We start from the raw sequence: 20,814 nt of genomic DNA on the forward strand, positions 1-20,814 counted from the left end.
ATTGCCAAAGAAACATGATGATACAAGTTCCTGGAGACTGTCATTTAGAAAACTGACCAATAAATGAAATGAAATTTTAGGAGTTTAGAGTAGTAATAAGGATATCTATATACTTTAGGTTGTGTAAAGTCTTGCCAGGAGTTTTTACTGGACAGAAGCCAAAGCTAAGGAAAAAACCTGTCATCAGGCAGCACAATGTCTTATAAAGAACTGACTGGCAAGAAAGCAAGACACTGTATGAAGTTCCAAATGTCCTCCAAGAACCTCAGTGATCCTAGTGTAGAAGTGTTTCCAGGATTTAAGGCAAACATAGGGTTTTTTTAGGGCATTCTTTTTATGGTTTCTGATTGAGTTCCATAGGAAATTGAGTTCTGTGCCAACTGCTCATTCATTCATTCACTTATTTCTTTTTTTATTAAATATCTATTATGTTTTGAGGTCTATGACAAGCATTAGTGATACATAGTCCTGGCAATCAAGAGGTTCAGAGCATTGAACAAAAGACACATGAACTATATTTTTTTTGTGTATTTTTGAGGTATAAATAACATAAAATAACGTTCATCAATTTTAAGTGTACAATATAAGTTGGTAACTGTATACTGTGTATTAGTCTGTTCTCACATTGCTATAAAGAAATACCTGAGACCGGGTAATTTATAATGAAAAGAGGTTTAATTGGCTCATGGTTCTGCAGGCTGTACAAGAAACACGCTGCTGGCATCTGCTTGGCTTCTGAGGAGGCCTCAGAAAACTTATAATTAAGTAGAAGGTAAAGTGGGAGGAGGCATGTCACATGGCTGGAGCAGGAGCAAGAGAGGTCGGGGGAGGTGCCACACGCCTTTAAACGTAGGATCTTGCAAGAACTCATTCATTATCGTGAGAACAGCACCAAGTGGGCGGTGCTAAACCATTCATGAGAAATCTCCCCCATGATCCAACCATCTCCCACCAGGCCTCACCTCCAACACTGGGGATTACAATACAACCTGAGATTTGGGTGGGTGCACATATCCAAACTACATCAGTAACTGTTACTACAATCATGATACAGCTACATTTCTGTAGCCGCGAAAGATCCCCAGTTCCTTTTCACAGTTCATCCTCTCCCATCCACTCTATGCCAGTGGGAATCACTGTTCAACTTGTTGTCACAAGAGTTTTTTTTTCTTTTATTGAAGAGAAGTATTACTTAAATTGGTTGTGCTAACGTTTGTTGATCTATTCATCAGTTGATGGACATTAGGGTTGTTTCCAGTTTTTGGCTATTATGAATAAAGCTACTATAAACATTCACATATGGGTTTTGTGTGAACCTATGTTTTATTTCTCCTGGGTAAATACCTAGGAGTAATGATTTCTGGAAATTAGAATAAGTGTTTAACTTTATAAGAAACTTCCCAACTGTTTTCTAAAGTGGCAATACTACTTTCTCTTCTCACCAACAATGTATGAGAATTCCAGTTGCTCCCTACTACTGCCATCACCCAATAGTGTCACATTCAGTGGATGTGCCTTGGTATCTCACTGTTGCTGTAATCTTCACTTTCCTGCTAACGGGGTTGAGCATTTTTTAATGCGCTTATTTACCATTGAACATCTGCTTTGTGGAAATGTCCTTTCAATTCTTTTGCTCAATAAAAAAAAGTCAGGTTGTGTGTCTTCTTGTTATTGAGTTGTAGCAGTTCTTTATCCTGGATAAAAGTTCTTTATCAGATATCTATTTTGAAAATATATTCCCCCAGTGTATGGCATAAATTTTCACTTTCTTAATGGTATCTTTTGAAGAGCAATTTTTTTTTTTTTGAGATGGAGTTTCACTCTTGTTGCCCAGGCTAGAGTCCAATGGTGCGATCTTGGCTCACTGTAATCTCCACCTCCTGGGTTCAAGCAATTCTCCTGTCTCAGCCTCCCAAGTAACTGGGATTACAGGCATGCACCACCATGCCTGGCAAATTTTTTATTTTTAGTAGAGATGGGGTTTCACCATGTTGGTCAGCCTGGTCTCAAACTGTTGACCTCAGGTGATCCACCTGCCTCAGCTTCCCCAAGTGTTGGGATTACAGGCGTGAGCCACCATACCCAGCCTTGAAGAGTGAATGTTTTCCATTTTGGTGAAGTCTATTTTAGCAGTTTTAAAAACTGTTTATCTTTTTTGTATCCTATGCAAGAATTTTTTTCTAAACTTGGTCACAAATATTTTTCTTTTAAATTGTTTTCTAGAAATATTATAGTTTTAGCTCCTACATTTAGGTCTGTTACCCATTTTCAGTTTGCTTTTCTTTGGTGTGATATACAATATGGGTCAAGGTGTATTTGTTTCTTCTTGCACATGAATATCTAATAGTTTTAACATCATTTGTTAAAAAGACAGTCCTTCCCCTAGTGAATTACTGTCACCTTTGTCAAAAATTAATTGACCATATATATGTAAGTCTATTTCTGGACACTCTATTTGATTTCTTTGCTCTGTGTGTCTATCTCTAACACTACTGAACTGTCTTGATTATTATAGTTTCAAATGATGTCTTGAAGTCAAATAATGTGAATCCTGCAAATTTGTTCTTCTTTTCAAAATTATTTTGGCAATTTTAGATTCTTTGATTTTCCTTGTAAGTTTTAGGAAGAGCTTGTTAATTTCCACAAAAAGCCTACTGGAATTTTGATTGAGATTGTGTTGAATCTATAGATCAATTTGGGAAGAATTTACATCTTAATATTGAGTTGTTTGACTCATGAGCATGAGTATCACTCTTCTCTTTCTTAGGTCTTTTTAATTTCCCACAACAAAGTTTTATAGTTTTCAGTGTACATTTCTTACACATATTTTGTTAAGTTTATCCCAAAGTATTTCATATTTTTAAGTGATTGCAGGTGGCAGTGTCTCTGTTTTTTTTTAAATCAATTATTTGCTGGTAGTATATAGAAATAAATTTTTATAGGGATTTTATATCCTGTTAACTTACTAAAATCTACCTATTCTATTTGCTAGAACTTTCTACATGGATGATCATATCACTTGTGTAAAAATAAAGTTTTACTTTTCTATTTTAAACACTTTCTCATTTTTTTCCTTTCTACACTATGTTAAACCTTCAGTACAATATAAGTATTATTATACTTATAAGAATATGAGTGCTGAGAATGGCTATACTTCTCTTGTTCCTAATTATAGAGGGAAATTATTTAGATTTTCACCCTTAAGAAAAGTGTTACCTGTAGCTTTTTGTAGATGCCCTTTATCAAGTGACAGAAGTATTTATATAATGCTGAGGATTTTTCTCATGAATTAGTATGGGATTTTGTCAAAAACTTTTCATGAATCTGTTGAGATGATGATGGTATTTGTCTTTTTTGTTGGTTAATATGGTGAATGACCTTAACTGATTTTTTTAGTGGTAAAATAACCTTGCATTTTTAGGATGAATGCTTCTTGGTCATAATTAATTTGCTAAAGTTATATTGAGAAGTTTTGAATCTATGTTCATGACATACATTTTTCTATAGTTCTTCTATAATGTCTCTGTCTGGTTTTGGTATTTATGGTAATACTGGACTCATAAAATGAACTGGATAATATTTTTTCTGACTTCCTAGAAGAGTTTGTGTAAAATTTTTGTTTCTTTAATAAATAATTGGTAGATTTCACCAAGGAAGTCCTTTGGGCCCAGGTATGTCTCTGTGGGAAGTGCTTTACCTATAAAACTTTAAGATATATATATATATATATATATATATATATATATAAAGTATACATAAAACCAAATATATAACATATTTATAACTGATTATATAACATATATAACTTAACATACAACATATATATATGACTGAATAGATGACTATTCAGTTAATCTATTTCTTCTTGAGTGAAGTTTACTACATTGCATCTTTCAAGGCATTTATTCATTTCATCTAAGTTGTTAATTTTTTTCATTTGTCTTAAAAAGCATTATTTTTGAAAGATAGTTGAGGTAAAGAATTTAGGTTGACCATTTTTGTTTCTTTCTCTTTTTAGTACTATAAAATCTCTCTCAGCTATCTCTGTCTTACAAAGTTTCTGATAAGAAGCAAGCTATCATTCTTTTTTACCTTCACCCTACATAATGTGTCTGTTCTTCCTTTGCCTGTTTTTATGACTTTTTATTATCTCTAGTTTTTTGCAACTTGATGTGTCTTGATGTGATTTTCTTCATGTTTCTTCTGCATTGTTTTTGTTGAGCTACTTGGATCTGTGGGTTTATGGTTTTCAACAAATTTGGAAAAATTTAGCTATTATTTTCTGTGTGTTTTGGAATTGATTATACAAGCTCCTGAGTTTCACTTAATCACCATAGTTTTGCCCATATTTCCTCTCAGTCTTTCTCATCCTTGCCATGTCTCTGTTCTGGGACTCATGAGACCTCTTCACAGCAGGTCAGTTCCCTGACTACCTATAAGTCCCTCTGTGCAGCCTCTGTGATGTGGCTTCCTTAGTCCCTTTTTCTCAGTCATCACTTCTGCATGCCCTTTCACTATTCATATGCACAAATCAGCTGAAATCTTTTGCCTACTAATTGCCCCTTTTCTATGCTCATAAAGGACTGAACTCAAATGTCACTGCCTCAGAAGGCCTTCTCTGACTATCCTAACAAATATTAAACTATCCCAAGCATTCATGTTTTATGTCTCACAAAACACTGTAGCTCTCCAAATGGTCTTATTTATGTGCTTACTGCTTGTCTGTATCTCCTACTGGAACATAAGATTCACGAGGGCAGGGGTGTATTTATTTTGTATTTATTTTGACTTCATGGTCCTCAGCACCTAGCATAATTCCTAGCACATAGTAAATACTTCATAAGTATTTTCTGGTGAATCAATGAATGCATGAATCCTGAGCCTGACAGAATGCATCATAATTTGGTGTCCCTTAATTTCTCCACTGTGAACACCTGAGTTCCTTTCAAGCTTATCTTCCTATTATACCTTACCATGAATCATGATTTTGAAACTTTGCATAAGCTCTTTTCTTTCTTTATGCTGAAATTATACTTCTTTTAAGGCCTGCTTCAGATTTCATCTTCTCTATGAAGCTTTTCATGGAGGTCATATTGCTTTTCTTTTTTTTCTTTCTGTGAACTTTAACGGTGTATAGATAGTCTTAATAACATTTTAATGGTCTATTTTGTATTTCTTTATTCTTTAATTATTTCATGGTTTAGTTTTGATTCCCTAATCATCCCCAACCTTTTTGTCATCAGGGACTGGTTTCATGGAAGACAATTTTTCCACAGTGTGGGAGGGATGGGGGATCTAATGCAGATCGTGAGGCATTAGATTCTCATAAGGAGGGCACAACCTAGATCCCTCGCATGTGCCGTTCACAGTAGGGTTTGCACTCCTATGAGACTCTCATGCCGGGCTGTTCTGACAGGTGGTGGAGCTCAGGCCTTAATGCTACTCACCTGCTGCTCACCTTCTGCTGTGGCACTGGGTTCCTAACAGACCACGGGTACTACCAGTCAGTGGCCAGGGACTTGGGGGCTTCTGCTCTAATAGAATTATACATTTCTGAAAGCCAGGGATACCTATTATATCTTCTAAGAAATGTTGGTGTAAACCAAGCATTTAAGAAGATATTAATGATGCTCAGTCTTTATGTAGCTACACAAAGAATATTACTAAGTTTTTTTATGTATATCTATATACTTAGGAGACTAACAGCATAATTCACTGACTCATTCATTTATTTATTCCATAAATATTTATTGAGTGCCTTTTATGTGCTGGGCACTGCTTTAGGTGCTGAGGATACATAAAAGAATAAAATTACATTAACAACTAAAATCCCTGACCCTTTTGAGCCTACATTTTTGGGGGGTTGACAGAGAAAAAATAATTTAATAAATAAAATATATTATATGTTAGGAAGTCATATATGTAAGCAGGACCTTCAAATTTGAAGGAGATAAAAGCCTCAATAGCTTAATTAAAATGTAAGCATTAGCCCCTCAAAATCTTATAAAATGACATTTGCCTCATCTTATGTTTAGATATAGATTCTCTGGTCTGTTTTCAAACAAAGAATAACCATGTGGGGTTGAAAGAGAAAGAAAATTATTGCATTGTTTTAACATGAAATAATTAGCAAACAATGAATTTGGACTTCCTCTAATGTGATTTGAATTATCTGTGATTTATTTTGAGCCACAGAGATTGACTTAATGCAACTCTGAAAACTGCTAAAGAGGAAATTTTATTCTTGACTTTAAATTTTTATATCACCAGGAGATAATGTTTGTACCACGAATTGCTTGGGATATATCTGGTTTGATCGTTGCTTTCTTGAGCCCTGCTCCCCATTCTCCCATAAATGCTCTACATCTGAAATGTTAAAATAGTCCTCTCACTATACCCTTTTCCCAAAATCCACTCCAGATGGGGCACATATGTGGAGTTCTTTGTGTCAATTTTGTTCAATCTCCTCTCAGGGTCTCTGTCCATAAGGGCTCATTAACAGGCATGTAGTCAGTAGGCATGCAGGTAAAATTTTTGGTCCAGCAGCGATGTTGACTAAAAGTATATATTTTTGGTTATTTACATGGCTTAAATGTCCTCCAACTTCCCTAATCCTATCCCCTGAACAGCTTGCTGTAATTTCTTAGTCTATTTTCAGAAAGTAGCCCTTTGGAGGAAGTTAAAAATGGAGTATTAGTAATTTTTTTGTAGTGTGGACAAAGAATAAAAGAGTATTATTAGATTAGCAAATGTGTTGGTTGTAGAAATATTAATGACTATCAAAAATAAATATCCATTCATATAAAAATTCCAAATTGTGAACTAGTAGTAGACTTTAAAGCTAAATATTATATGCACTTTTAAAATGTGTGATGTAAATATAGTCTAATAACATTTATAGGATTCATATTTTAAAGGTTGGATTAATTTCTATTTGTTTTTCATTTTAATAAATGTCAAAGTATAATGTATTATGAACAATGCAGGGAATAGAATTTTTGAAATTTCCATGGCATTCATAATTTATCAGGTCTATCTGTCTTTTTTTTTTTTTTTTTTTTTTTGAGACGGAGTCTCGCTCTGTCGCCCAGGCTGGAGTGCAGTGGCGGGATCTCGGCTCACTGCAAGCTCCGCCTCCCGGGTTCACGCCATTCTCCTGCCTCAGCCTCCCAAGTAGCTGGGACTACAGGCGCCCGCCACTACGCCGGGCTAATTTTTTGTATTTTTAGTAGAGACGGGGTTTCACCGTTTTAGCCGGGATGGTCTCGATCTCCTGACCTCGTGATCCGCCCGCCTCGGCCTCCCAAAGTGCTGGGACCACAGGCGTGAGCCACCGCGCCCGGCCTATCTGTCTTTTTACTCAAAACAACTTGGTATTCTTAAAATAAAATTATAAAATCTAATGTTTTTAAGATCAAGGTAAAATATTGCTGGGGCTCAGGAAGAAAGGGAGAAGATTTGAGGCTATGTAAGATGTCTCTCTGACATTTTTCATCTCATGTTTTTGAGCATGATCGCATGTCCATTTATTCATTCAACAGATATTTATTGAACATCTGCTATATGCCAGATGCCTTTCTAAGGACTGGAGATAGAGTAATGGAAAAAATATTCCTGTCTTTGTGGACTTTATAGTCTGGAAAAGGAGCTAGACAATGGAAAGAAAATGGTAAAAGAAATTGCTCCATTAGATAGCAATATGTGCTAAGGAAAACAAGCAAAGCAAGGCAGGGGGACTGAACTTTTAAATGTGACCAGAGAGGGCTTAATTGAGAAAGTGACTTGAAGTAAAGGCTTGAAGGAAAAAGATTCCAAGCTGGGGAAAGGGTGCTTGAGGCTAAGGAAAAAATGAATGTGGGAATCCTGGGTAAGAACACATTTGGCTTGTGAAGGAACTGAAGGAGGCTGCTGTGACTGGAGTGGAGTGACCAAATCGATGAGGGTTTTCGTCAATCTCTGCTCAAGCTGCTATAACAAAATACCTAAGACTGAGTGATTTATAAGTAATAGAAATTTATTTCTCACAAGTTTAGAGACTGGGAAGTCAGAGATCAAGGTGCCAGTAGACAGATTCAGTGTCCAGTAAGGGCTCACTCTTTACTACACAGGATGGTGCCTTGTTGCTACATCGTCTCATGGCAGAAGGGCAGAGAAGACAAACTTTAGAACTAAAAGGGCTTTATAGATCATCCAGTTCAACTCCTACATTACATTTATGAGATTCATTTTTTCATGCATATATTTCTATATTCATTCACTCAACCAATATTTACTGAAGATCTATTATGCACCAAACACTCCTTTAGGAACTTGGGGCACAGGAATAAACTAAACAGATGAAAATAAACTAAACAGATTTTCTTCTGTTTAGTTTATGAAGCCTATTGATTTACTTTGGTGGTGCGATCTCCATCCCCTGCAATTTACCACTCAAATCACCCTTCTTCATTCTATACATTGTAACATGAAGACAAATCACACGCAGACCAAGTTCTTGAGCTACCCTGTCTCAGCAAATGTTTGGTATTTGGTAGGAATTAATGACTCACTCTGTATATACAGGGTATCCAAGATATGCAGATTTGGGATATATGGATTTTGCTATGGTTTGAATATTTGTGTCCCTCCAAAATTCATGTTGAAACTTAATCCCCAGTGCAGTAGTATTAAGAGATGGGGCCCTTAGGAGGTGATTAGGCCATGAGCACTCTGACCTCCTGAATGGGATTAATGCCTTTATAAAGGAGCTTGAGGGAGTAAGTTTGTCCTTTCTGCCCTTCTGCCCTTCTTCCCTTTTGCCAGGAGAAGATGTAGCAACAAGGCACCATCCTGGGTAGTAGAGTGAGCCCTCACTGGACACTGAATGTGCCTGCTGGAACCTTGATCTCTGACTTCTCAGTTTCTAAAATTGTGAAAAATAAATTTCTATTACTTACAAATTACTCAGCCTTAGGTATTTTGTTATAGCAGCTTGAGCAGACTAAGAGATTTTAATAAGATGAAGGCTTGAATAGTTGAAATTACTTGCGATGATCTATTTCCGACCTACTTGATGGATTCTCTATGGTCAATGGTATCAGTAGGCCAGTTGGGTGTCTAAAAGATTCAGTTAAATTGCAGATCCCTGAAAATTTGTGTGCGTGTGTTTTTTCCCCTTTGGGGATGCATGCTACTAAGACATGTAAAATTCTTGCCAGTTTCTGCTCATAAGCATGATTTAATCAATCTAATTGACATTGTGATATTCTGTAAAATGTAAAGATGAGTAAGACCTTTGTGTGTTAGATTGTGTCAGATAGTGACTTAGCCCTGAAGCAAGATTGTGAAGGTACATTGTTATCCCTGCTAGGTAAAAACAAATTACTTTTTTGTGGGACTTGCAATTTGATAGGGATGAAAAGGCATTTGCCAGACCCATAGCTACATAACAGAATCCAGAGGCGATATTAATGTATCCGTTTAAATATATTATATCTGGTGCAGCTGCTGCAATTGGAATTGCCTCCTGATTAAATTTACAAGAACCCATGATCCTTTTGCCTTTTACACAGGCCAAAAAGAGAATCCTTTTGCCTATTAAACGGACCAAAAAGGAGAATTAAATTGGACCCACCCTTCTGGAAGGCTTAGAGGACTATTCCAGAATATAATTTTGGCAGTGTTGAATGAGCCTTTGCAAAGACTAAGAACTCTGATCTCATGAGCTTGCTTAGGGCTGAGCTGGGTGAAAAGTTGTGCTTCACCACTGTGGTGATCCATGTCAGATTTCTGCTTACTAAACCTATAAACAGCTCTTCTGATTATAATTATATTGTATATAATCATGATTTAGTAGGTTGCCTACTTGTTTTATTGAAACCTCGTGATCAGTTAGCCACTACTGACTACTTGCGGGTCAAACATGATTGCTTATTATGGTAATTATGCTTACCTTGTTTTTAGTGGTTAAATGCTGCTATTTGGCCCCTAACATTCCAGAATTCTACCATCCACTTTAAAATCAGGAAGCCCATTTCAATGGTGGCATTTCCCACTACTATCCCTAGCTTACCAAAGACAGCCACCAGCCACGGGGCTCTTCCAGGAGGTTAACACACCCTCATTAATGCCTTAGTGGAGGGAGGGTACTTGGACTCTCTCAAGGAACACAGTGGGGGTGGGTGTTCAGGTTCTCTGAAGTGTTCCTATCTTTCTAAGCTTTCAGTCCTTTCTTCTGTTTTATGCCAAGGAAGTTCTGACATCTCATCACGATTGAATTGAATTGCCTTTCAGTCTACATGTCAGATAATCAGCCAGCCTGCTGGAAACCCGCACAGTTCCTTTATTCTCTGGTCAGGTAAACCGTAATAATACATTTGATTTGATCCAACATTATATTTTATCCTTCTGGGTCTCATAGCCATAGAAACCACTCTCACATCTATTTATGTTCTCACCAGACTTCCATTTAAAGAATGTTTAATGCTAAAATAAATTTAGTAGACACAATTAGGAATTTAATGGAAAAAAATTAGAAACTAGCAAGTGGGTGGCATTTTTCAATTCCTCTTCTGATTTATAAGCTTCCATCTGGTCTGTCCTTTTCTTTCCTGGACAGACTGTGAGGAAGGCAGAACTTGTCTTTGTCTCTGTCTTACTTTTCCTTTTAGGGATTTTCCTTATGTTTTGGCCAATGTATATTTTGAAAATCTTGCTATTCTTTTGGAGTACAAACTCTCTTCCCCCAGCTATGACAGGCCACTTTTCTCTTTGGAGCAGGTTGAGATCTGACTGTCATTATAGGTCTTGAGGCAGTGAAGGTAGTGGGGAGAATAGGCACCCTTTGTGAAGGCAGCAACCTTACATGAGGTTATCACAAGATATTCAAGAAAGGGGAAGCTACTCTTTTCAACATATTGGGGGCCGCTTCTGCTGACAAGTGAGGCACAGGGATATTAGATTGAAAATACTCAAACTTGACTGAGTCTAACAAAATGTCTTCCTCTCAAGTCTTAGGCACCTATTCCTTCCAAATAATGTCTGAACTTTCACACAGAAACTTAGTCCATCTGTAAATTCATCTTATATTGTAATCCTGCAATTCACATGATTGTATTTTGGGTTTGATTTTTAGTCATATCTGCTTTATGACTCCAGAAAATAAGAGGTTCTTAAAAGTTACCAAAGACATTTTCTGGTACTCTATGACTGATCTCAGTTCTTGTAGTTGTGCTTATTACTGTAACTGTCAAGTTCTTCAGCCACTTTGTCACTCAAAGTCTTGCCTTCAATAGACAATTCATTCCAAGCAGCCACAGATAATAATTGAAGTCATCTTGATACAATTGCTTGCTACAGATTAACAGTATCCCATTTGCTATGAGCAAAGAGATTATAGCTATGCTCAAGTTAAAGAGGTAAATAACCTAATTACAGAATCCTATCTTTGAGGATCAGTTTCCTGGGACCATTCATGGTACCAAGTACTCTATCAATCAAGGTCCAGAAACCAACCATGATAGATATTTCAAAGGAGGACTTTAATTGAAGACTTGATCTATTATCTGTTGTGGTATAACCAGTTACATCAGAATTTAGTGGCTTAAGACAATAAACATTTATTATCTCACAGTTCCTGAGGTTCAAGAATCCAGGAGCAGTTTAGAGTCTCTCATCAGGTTGCAGTCAAGCTGTTGGATGGGACTGGAGTCATCTGAAGCATTGACTAGAGATGGAGGATCTGCTTCCAAGATGGCTCACTCACATGGCTATTGGCAGGAGGCCTCAGTTTCTTGCTGGCAGTTAGCAAAAGGCCTCCAGTCTCTTGCCACATGGTCCCCTCTACAGGGCTGTTTGAGTGTCCTCATGACATAGCAGTTGACATCCCCCAAAAAGAGTGATCTAAAAGAGAGAGAGAGCAGGAGGAAGCTGTGATATCTTTTATGACCTAACTACATACCATCACTTCTATTGTATTCTACTCATTGGAAGCAAGTCACTAAGTCCAGCCCACATTCAAGGAGAGATGAATTAGGGTCCATCTGTTGGAGAGAAGAATGTCAATAATTTTGTGATATATTTTAAAACCATCACACACTGGTTTTGGGAGGCTGAAAGAGCAAAAGGGGAATGCCATTGTGAGCCCAATGTCGGTACCTGTGGTAAGTAGCTACTACTGGGGATGAATGAATAAAAGGGTGCTGGTATATCTAGGAGCTCAGGGGATTGATCTGTGTGCCAGTTCTTTGACCTCAGAGTGACAGGTATCCTGCAGCTGTTGGGGGGATCTCTAACGAGGCTGCCATGTGGCTAGTGTTCAGACTTCTGACGGAGAGATGATATGAGGCTGGTGCTCTATGAAAAGGGCATGGTGTCACTAGTACTCTGTCACTGAAGAGGCACAGCAGGCTGGTGGTTGTGTCTCTAAGGGGTGAAGCATCATTGGTACTGTGGCTGTTTTCTGTGGTTGGAGGGAAATGTACAGGAACTGTAAATAGAAGGGAAGTTTATTCTTTCCTCCTCCTGTCTTTCAATTTTACACCAGTCCCTTTCATTGACAGAGGCTAACAGGAATCCATCTGGCAAGGGAATATTGAAAATACAGTACAAAGGAGCGGAGTATGGATGGGTCGACTTGGCACTGAGAGACAATAGGTAAACAAACTGGCACAACATGATTTTCTTTTATGGGGTTTTTTTTGTAGACACCACTTTTTAAATCACCCTTTTAAATTCTTGCCATTGAACGAAGAGGGTGATCATACCTGGTTCAGATCCCTGTACTACCTCTTCCCTGTAAGTGGCTGGTCCCTGGTATGAATTGGATATTCTAGTATTTTAAAAGTACCCGAGATATGCAGATTTTTGATTGATGGATTTTAATGGGAAGAAGGCTTGAAAGTTGAAATCACTTGGTATCATCTACTTCGGACCCCCAGAGACCAATTGGCTACGTGGGAATGGAGGCTGTACATAGGTTGGATAGCTAGAAGTCTCCTTCAGGTCACTCCTAATGGTCCATTCTCTCTTTCTACCCCTCTTCCCTGTTTGCTTGGCAAATCTGATAAATATGCTCTAGTTTATAGTTGTTCTATAAGATTTGCTCCAGGCCAGAGCTGGACCAAGTGACTTCCTAAAGGTTTGCAGCTTTGGAATTGGGCAGTCTTAAATTTCTGTAAAAGAATATTGTCATCACATGAGTAGTCCAGAACCTCATTTTTCCCCAGATATGCTTTGGGCAAAGATCACCAAATGGGCAAGTTCTTCCCACTCCCTCATGTATCATCCATTCAATCCCACCTGTTTTGCACATCTTGGACAGGTTTTGTTCCCAGTCTAGACTCTTAGAGCCACCACTGGGAACTCCAAGCTGTTCTGAGATTTGGTATCCAGGGAGTGTCTGCAGCCATGTGGATAGAGCAGCTTAACTAGATTCTGCTATGTTAGCTTCTACTCATTCTCTCTTTACTTTCTCACCAGACTTCCATTTAAAGAATGTTTAATGCTAAACAAAAAATTAGTAGATGCAATTGGGAATTTAGTGGGAGACATATTAGCAACTAGCAATTGGGCAGCATTTTTCAATTATCTTCTGATTTATGAGCTTTCATCTGGTCTGCCTTCCTTTTCCTGGCCAAATTGTGAGGAAGGAAGAACTTGTTTTTATCTATGTCTCACTTTACCTTTTAGGGATCTTTCTTCTTCCCTGCCTAGTGGATGCTATTTTGTACCCCACTCTGATAGTGCTTTTGTGATAGGATAACCTGATGAAATTCAAACTTCTCTGAGTATCCATTTCCTTATCTGCTTATTCAATTGACTAGTCACCTCCTCTCTTTGGATATCTAATAGGTACTTAACATTTAAAATGCCCCAAATTGAGCTCCAGATTATCACCATTCCCCTAAATGTACTCTTTCCTCAGTTTTCCCATTTCAGTTGATGAAAGCACCATCCTTCCAGCTGCTCAGGCTAAAAATCCCCCACAGTTATTCTTCTAATTTTTTTTCTTTCTCTTATTTCTCATAATCAAACTGCTAGCAAATCTTATTGGCTCTACTATTAAAATATATCCAGAATCTGCCCACATCTCATCAGCTCTTATGACTAGTTCTCTAGTCCAAACCACTGTCACCTCTCACCTTGATTTATGCAATAACCTCCTGCTGTTTTATCTGCTCCTATCCTCCCCAACTTCAGTCTATTCTCAACATAGAAGCAGAGTGATCTTTTAAGAATGTAAGCAGAGCATGTCACTCTTCTGCTTAAAGCCTTCCAATTTCTTCCCATCTCACTCATGGTAAGCACCTGTCTTTATGTGGCTACAAGGGCTCTGTGATGATCTGGTCCCTCACTTGTCCTTTGAAAATCTTATCTCCTATTCTCTTCCCTTTTCCCCATTCTATACTTAACTCACTGTACTCTTTTTTTTTTTTTTTTTTTTTTTACAAATCAGACAAATTCTTGATCACTGTACTTACTTTTCTCTCTGCTTAGGATATCCCTTTTGCTCAGATATTTGCACAGTTTGCTTCTTCCCCTCCTAGTCTTCTCTCAAATATCACTTTCTCAATGAGGACCTCCTTGATCACTGTTATTAAAACTGTAACCATTTCAACTTCCTTCCTAGCAAGTCTTATCCCTCTTCCCTATTACATTTTTATTCATAGCACTAATCAGCATTTGGCAAACCCAAGCAATCAGGTAAAAAACACATTTTACTTATGTATTGTTGGTTGCATGTCTCCCTCCATTACCATGTAAGCTACATGAAGGGTTGGATTTTCATCTGTTTAGTTTATTCCTGTACCCCAAGTTCCTAAAGGAGTGTTTGGTGCATAATAGGTCTTCAGTAAATATTGGTTGAATGAATGAATATATAAATATATGCATGAAAAAATGAAGCTCATAAATGTAATGTAGGAGTTGAACTAGATGATCTATAAAGCTCTTTCAGTTCTAAATCTATGAAGGTGAGGCTCAAGGTGGGGTTCCTTCTGGGCTGTGGTAATAGGCTATATATTTAACATCTGGTAATAAACTAGAACTGAATAATCAAAACCAATGCCAGCTATAAAAAACAACCCTGGCCTTACTGATCATGTATATAAGCAAGATACCAACCCTGCTTCTACCTAGGAGTATTTGCATTTTAAAAGGATTCTCTTAAAAATTGAGAAGCCAAAGGTTATCATTTTTGAATAGAAATTTCGGCATTCTAGCATGCCAGTAGTAGGAAATATTTGACAATTCATCTCACCTGCAGAAAGTAGTTCTGTTCTGCACTCTCATAAGGTGAACCCTGATTTTATGTAAATCTCAGAGATCTAAACATACTAAAAATAGATTTTGTGTGATGTTTCTTCCCTGGGTTAGTAGAATTTTCTCTGCCTTAGTTTAGTTGTTGTTCAGCAGTTGAGTAAAAAAAAAAAAAAGAAAAAAGCAGTTTTTAGTTTTAAGTCCTTAGGAATATATTTTAGAAGGTTGACACTAAGAAGGAAGCCCCCAAGGAGCTCTCAATAGTGAAACAATTAGCCAGCAAGGCCATCTCTTATCTGTGTCAGCATTTGATAGTGGTATAATACATACTGACTTAGCCTGCTGTGGGCATTGTTATATTAGAGAAAAAATATATAAAGAAGGATTGCATTGAGAATAGTGACCAAATCTTCAGTTCACTGGCAAAGAATAAAATGACTCATCTATTTATTCATTTAACAAATATCTATTGAGTACTTACCATATGCCAGACAATAATCTAGGCGTTTGTGATACGTGAAACTCCTTTTCCTGGAATAGGTTGTGTAATTCATTCAGTCAACGTTGATTAAGCACCAGATGTGTGCCAGATACTGTGCTAGGTTCTGGATATGTGAAATACAGTGATATGGTCTTTGTCATTAAGGAACTTTCTCTCCAGGAGGAGGAAAACAGGTTTTAGATATCTGGACAAAGTGCAGGAAGAGAACACAAAGGATGTTCAGTTTTGTCTCTGGAGTCTGATAAAATAAAGAATTCCTAGGGAAAGGGGTGTCTGGAATGAGTGTTGGTAAATGAGTGGGTATTTGTTAGGATAGGAGGTTGGGGATAGGAGGTCGGCTTTTCAGACAAAGGGATCCACTAAGAGAAAAGCCAGGAAGTTATGAAACCACACAGGAGAGTCAGAGAGTTGTAAAAATTTTGAGGTCAAGACAACTGCTAGGCTAGATAATTTAGGGTCTTCTATGTCATTTTAAGAATTTTACTCTTTTCTCTATGAACTGTGAAAAACCTTTGAAGGATTTTAAGAAGGAAGGTTACATGATCTCTCTTGGATTTTAAAGATCACTGTCACTTTGGTAGCATTTGGAAAATGACTTAGAGGAAGTGAGATGAGAGCTCAAGAGACAGTTGGGTGACTATTTCCAAGTTTAGATAAAAGGTGAATGCAGGCTGAACTCTGGTGATAAAAGGAGGAAGGAGAGGAGGATGTAGGTATAAGAAATGATAACGATATAAAATTGAAAAGGCTTAGTTAATGGGTCTGGGAGACAGAGGAAGGTAAGATAAAGGGAGGATTAAAGAATAGCTTTTTGCTTTCTGACTTTAGTAAAGGAGTAGGTGATGGTGTCTTCAACAGAGAGAAGGAAAGATAGGAGGAGAGCAGATCTGACATTTCGGAAATGAGTTTGGCTTTGGAGTTGACTGTGTGGTCTGGTTAGAGCTCCATAGGTAGTTCACCCACATAAGTGGTCAGTAGTTAACCTCATAGGCATTGGTAAGCTCAGGTGGAAGGTGTTTATAAATCAGAAGAGTTTGGAGATCACTGACATATGAGTGAGATGATGAGAAGTCTGCTCAGATACCTTCCCTGAAGGACTTTCCAAACCTTTACACCAGAAATTGGTTCATCATCTGAAGTGAATCTTTTTTTCAGTTGGTGTGGTTGAATCAAGGTCCAAAAAATGTAGCCAAAGAAAGGGGAGTGGTGTAAAATGATGTAAGGTGCTTCCAACCAGTCAAGTCCATGGTTAAAAGTCAGGGGAGTCTGCCTTAGCTGAAGTGATCATCTCCATATGACTTGAAGGCACGGGACAAGAGCCGACTAGGACTTGGTAGTCCTCATTCACTTCCCTTCTTTTCTGGTTGAGACTTAAAATTCAAGCCTAAGAATTTATTCCTTAAGCTTCAGACTTTGACTACAGTTAATATCTATATTCCCTTACTAAGTGATAGGGCTTAATATTTTGTCAATTATATATATTTTTAATAATAACCCAGTTTCCATGATTTGCCTCCAAAATAATTACTTCCATATCTGTGGCCCCATAACACTTGATTAATACCTCTGTTATGGTTCTAATCTAATGCTATTCATATTATTCTTTCCATGACATTCTCTATCAGATTATGTCTGTGAGGTCAGAGACCTCATCTTATTCATCACTGTATCAACATCAAAAATAGTAGATGTTCAATTAAATTTTTGAGTGAATTAATAATCATTATGAAAGTAGTACCTGATTGACCCTTTAAGTTTCAAAATACTTTATCTATTTTGTAACAGTAACATGTGCATCCTCCTTAGGAAGTAAATCTCTTTATTATCCCTATTTAACACATGAGGAATATGAGCTGAGAAGATTTCATGGCTCGAACAAGGTTACACAGCCAGTAAGGGATGGAACCTGTGTTTTTTCATACCAATTCCTTCCCTTTTCACTCTGTATTGGTGAGCCTCCCCTTCGCCCACCCCATAAAAAAGGCTCTAAAAGGGGAGAAGACTAAGAGCACTGGGCCCTTCTGAGAAGCATGGAGTAAATGAGGTTTTGTCTCAGAACATGGAAGCTGGGAATAGAAGTGAAAAACTACATCCACTGCCAATTTTGTCTAGAGTAGCATTGAAAGCTAACATCTTATAGAGACACTACTGAGCTCAGATTTCCACGGAGGACAGGTCAGCAGTAATCCTGGCATTATGTGCTCTCAGGCCTGTGACCACGACATAAATGCCAGTGAAAGAAATCTTACAGTCAGTTTGTGAACTCCATTTGAAAATGCAGGTGTGGTTGTAAAGAGCCAGGAATACAGGGAGTTTGAGTTACAAGGGCAGATGTTAAATATGCATCTTAAGAAAGGATCATTGGGGTTTATAATAGTATTGACCGCACTCCAGTTTTATTTTCTCATTTCAAAAAAAGGCTTCTGTTGCCATAAACTCCAAGTGTACATTTAAAAAAATTCAATGTTAAAGGGAAATAAATGTTATTCATAGTGGCAGAATTCAGTAGGCTTTAATAATGGGCCAGGTAAAGTGAATTCTTGGAAAATAAGTGCTCTGAGGGTTACATGAGTCTAATTGAGGGTGGGTGCTCTACCATTTTGGGGGCAAGAGCTCTTTCACTTAGGCTCTGTGGGGTAGGGTATAAGATGGGGTTGAACAAAAAGAAGGAAGAAGAAAGAATATAGTAAGGACAAGATTTCTGATTTCTAATATATTTATAAATTTAGCTCTCCCTCTCCCAACCATGTAATGCCATGTCAGTTGGCTGATCCCTTTGGATTAGTCTTTCTGGCGCTCTGATATGCTGGTGTATGTTGTATACCATAGCCAAGATTGTAAGCTGCCTGTGAGTAAATGTTAATGCCTTCTTCTCTTACAAAATTCAAATAATTGGAATTTGCCACTGTGCTTCCTGGTGTTTACGTGTGCATGAGGGTCTCTGACAGGGTCTCTGAGACATCTCTATTTGCATGTGTAATAACTTGTTGTAAAATCTTTGCATTCAGTTGTTCAGCTGAATCTCCCAGGACTTTCAAAGATCTTTGGGAAAGGGAATGCCATTATGTGCAGTCATTAGCCCCATAAAAGAAGTCACCAAACAGTGTCACCTCATTTCTTCTTCCCACCACCCTTGCTTCACCTCCCTGACAATGGTTTCTAGGCACACACCTCCATTCTGTTCTTGCTTCTATTGGTTTCTCCTTCATCACTCGTCAATAAGAAACAACAACAAAACCCAGGCATTTGGCCAAATGACCTTTCCACCTGTCTTATCTTTCTGTCTGATTTCATTCTATGATGACAGAATGGAAAATCCTTGAAGGCAGGTGCTATACTTATTCATAATTTATATTCAAGACCAGGCATCTTTTAGATGTTTATTAAATTTTATATAAAAGCATTAAAAAACTTTGATGGAATGACCCTGGAAATACTTTATCTTCTCTTTTTATTTTCTTCTTCTCTTTTAGTGGCTGGTAGAAAAAGGAAAAGGTTGGGGGGTAAGTCATTTAGATGGGGAAAGACATTTCTCTAAATGTCAATACTTATGAAACACCATTTTAAACCTTTATAAATGATTATCTTCCTCAGTACTGATGAGGCAGTTTCACATTGCTGCTCAATTTATTTACTCAGGAGACCAATTTATTTCACTACCTCTGTACTAACTGTTTGCATTGACATCTAGGTCTGCTTTGAGCAAGCAACTGTGACAAGTTGTTTATTGAACTGTAAACAGGTATTGTCTGAAGCTAAACAATGGCTTTATCTAATTAGGAGACCCTGGGCATCATCTTAGCCCCATGCGGCTATCCTAACCCAGCCTAGCATCTCCTGCAGACTTCCCATGCCTTTTAAAATCTTGCTCACAGTAAAACCCTTCATCACAAAATGAAGAATAATCCTTATTTTGTCCTGTAACTGTACATACTGGTGTTTTGTGCAAAAAAAGGACTGACTGCAATAAACTGTGTTAAGTGCGGCCCAATTTAGAATGGTTGAATAAGAAAAGGAAAACATGAATGAGATATAAAAAGAAAAAGATGAATAAAGATGAACTGGGTCTGTTGCCTAGGCTGTATAAAGGCCTTGTATAAATTAGAAAACATTTTCCTACCAAAAGGGAACCTAGTGAAATGATGGCGATATGAGTTTTCAAAACAAAAATACAGGTATGATTATGGAAAGCATAATAGCAGAGCTGAGGGAGGAACAGTTAAGTTTCTGGACTCAGATTGAAATGGAGCAGGTACAAAAGCACTTGGGAGGCCTCATCTTAGCCACCATCGCTTTGTGTCTGAAGATGCTAATTGAGCACAGCAATCAATGTCTTTTGTTTTTAGCTGTCAGCACTTTCCTGAAGGGCTTTGCCCAATACTAGAGGGAGAAACTCTTAACGAAGCTTCACTTTTCAGTAGCTATTATTATTACAGTTTCCTCTTGGAAGGAAAGAATTAATTGCTGTTTTGAAAAAAAAGTCACTGCAGTGAAGTTTTCAAATGTGAGGCCAAACGTAGATCACTTTCTTAAAAAAGGAAAAAAAAATTGGCCAAGGGCTACCCCACTGCTATACATTACAAAGAAAAAGCCTACATAAAAGTGAGCAGTGCGATGAGGTATTTCTTTCAGTTGCATATAGACATTATGTTTATTTTATCATAAAGCCAGATTTTCACATTCCTTTTGTCTCTCCCCAGGCATTGAGAGTTGCTTTCTTGGTTGCTTCCTTAACAATTTGTGTAATTGGTTTCACTCACTGAGGCCCAATTGGTGGGTTCATTGTGAGTGTCTCATGAAATATGAATCTATTTAAAAATTAATAGTAAATCAATATTAATTCAATAAAATATTTTAATCTGAGGTATAAATATTTTATACCTTCACACAGACATGCAGATTTCAAAAGCCGTTTTCATGTTTCTGACAGGCTGTCCAGTTTTGCCACGACGACATTGAAATTATTCCTCCTCACACCGTGTGCCAGCTCTGGGGTCTCTCAGGAAGAGCTGCCCAGGTCAATGGTTATGTTTATTCAAACTGCTGAAGGAATGCAAATGAGATGCTTGCTGCAG

General features: G+C 37.6%; 1 annotated feature.

Moving 5' to 3' along the window:
* Positions 19,769 to 20,421: an enhancer, noted in NCBI's record as "OCT4-NANOG hESC enhancer chr1:96048206-96048858 (GRCh37/hg19 assembly coordinates)". NCBI's record gives its function as "activates a minimal SCP1, AML or CMV promoter by ChIP-STARR-seq in primed H9 embryonic stem cells {active_cell/tissue: H9 hESC(primed)}" and the evidence as "EXISTENCE:reporter gene assay evidence [ECO:0000049][PMID:30033119]".

Source organism: Homo sapiens, chromosome 1 (assembly GCF_000001405.40).
Source record: "Homo sapiens chromosome 1, GRCh38.p14 Primary Assembly".
NCBI classification, from domain to species: domain Eukaryota; kingdom Metazoa; phylum Chordata; class Mammalia; order Primates; family Hominidae; genus Homo; species Homo sapiens.